At 53.5% G+C, this 1,188-nt stretch overlaps 1 annotated feature.

Moving 5' to 3' along the window:
• Window positions 331–848: an enhancer, noted in NCBI's record as "NANOG-H3K27ac hESC enhancer chr11:44685723-44686240 (GRCh37/hg19 assembly coordinates)". NCBI's record gives its function as "activates a minimal SCP1, AML or CMV promoter by ChIP-STARR-seq in naive H9 embryonic stem cells {active_cell/tissue: H9 hESC(naive)}" and the evidence as "EXISTENCE:reporter gene assay evidence [ECO:0000049][PMID:30033119]".

Below are 1,188 nucleotides of genomic sequence, written 5' to 3' on the forward strand. Positions count from 1 at the left end.
GGCCAGCCGCCCCGTCCGGGAGGTGAGGGGCGCCTCTGCCCGGCCGCCCCTACTGGGAAGTGAGGAGCCCCTCTGCCCGGCCAGCCGCCCCGTCCGGGAGGGAGGTGGGGGGGTCAGCCCCCCGCCCGGCCAGCCGCCCCCTCCAGGAGGGAGGTGGGGGGGGTCAGCCCCCCTGCCCGGCCAGCCGCCCCGTCCGGGAGGTGAGGGGCGCCTCTGCCCGGCCGCCCCTACTGGGAAGTGAGGAGCCCCTCTGCCCGGCCACCACCCCGTCTGGGAGGTGTGCCCAACAGCTTATTGAGAACGGGCCAGGATGACAATGGCGGCTTTGTGGAATAGAAAGGCGGGAAAGGTGGGGAAAAGATTGAGAAATCGGATGGTTGCCGTGTCTGTGTAGAAAGAAGTAGACATGGGAGACTTTTCATTTTGTTCTGCACTAAGAAAAATTCCTCTGCCTTGGGATCCTGTTGATCTGTGACCTTACCCCCAACCCTGTGCTCTCTGAAACATGTGCTGTGTCCACTCAGGGTTAAATGGATTAAGGGCGGTGCAAGATGTGCTTTGTTAAACAGATGCTTGAAGGCAGCATGCTCGTTAAGAGTCATCACCAATCCCTAATCTCAAGTAATCAGGGACACAAACACTGCGGAAGGCCGCAGGGTCCTCTGCCTAGGAAAAGCAGATACCTTTGTTCACTTGTTTATCTGCTGACCTTCCCTCCACTATTGTCCCATGACCCTGCCAAATCCCCCTCTATGAGAAACACCCAAGAATTATCAATAAAAAAATAAATTAAAAAAAAAAAAAAAAAAAAAAAAAAAAAGATAAACATCATGATTAGGCCGGGCGCGGTGGCTCACACCTGCAGTCCCAGCACTTTGGGAGGCTGAGGTAGGAGGATCACGAGGTCAGGAGATCAAGACCATCCTGGCTAACACAGTAAAACCTCGTCTCTACTAAAAATATATATATATATAAAATGAGCCAGGTGTGGTGACGGGCACCTGTAGTCCCAGCTACTCAGGAGGCTGAGGCGGGATAATGGCGTGAACCCAGGAGGCGGAGGTTGCAGTGAGCCGAGATCGCGCCACTGCACTCCAGCCTGGGTGACAGAGCGAGACTCTGACTCAAAAAAAAAAAAAAAAAAAAAAAAAAAGATAAATATCATGATTATTATCATTATTGCCCCTA

The sequence above is a fragment of the Homo sapiens genome, chromosome 11 (assembly GCF_000001405.40).
Source record: "Homo sapiens chromosome 11, GRCh38.p14 Primary Assembly".
In the NCBI taxonomy this organism is placed as follows: domain Eukaryota; kingdom Metazoa; phylum Chordata; class Mammalia; order Primates; family Hominidae; genus Homo; species Homo sapiens.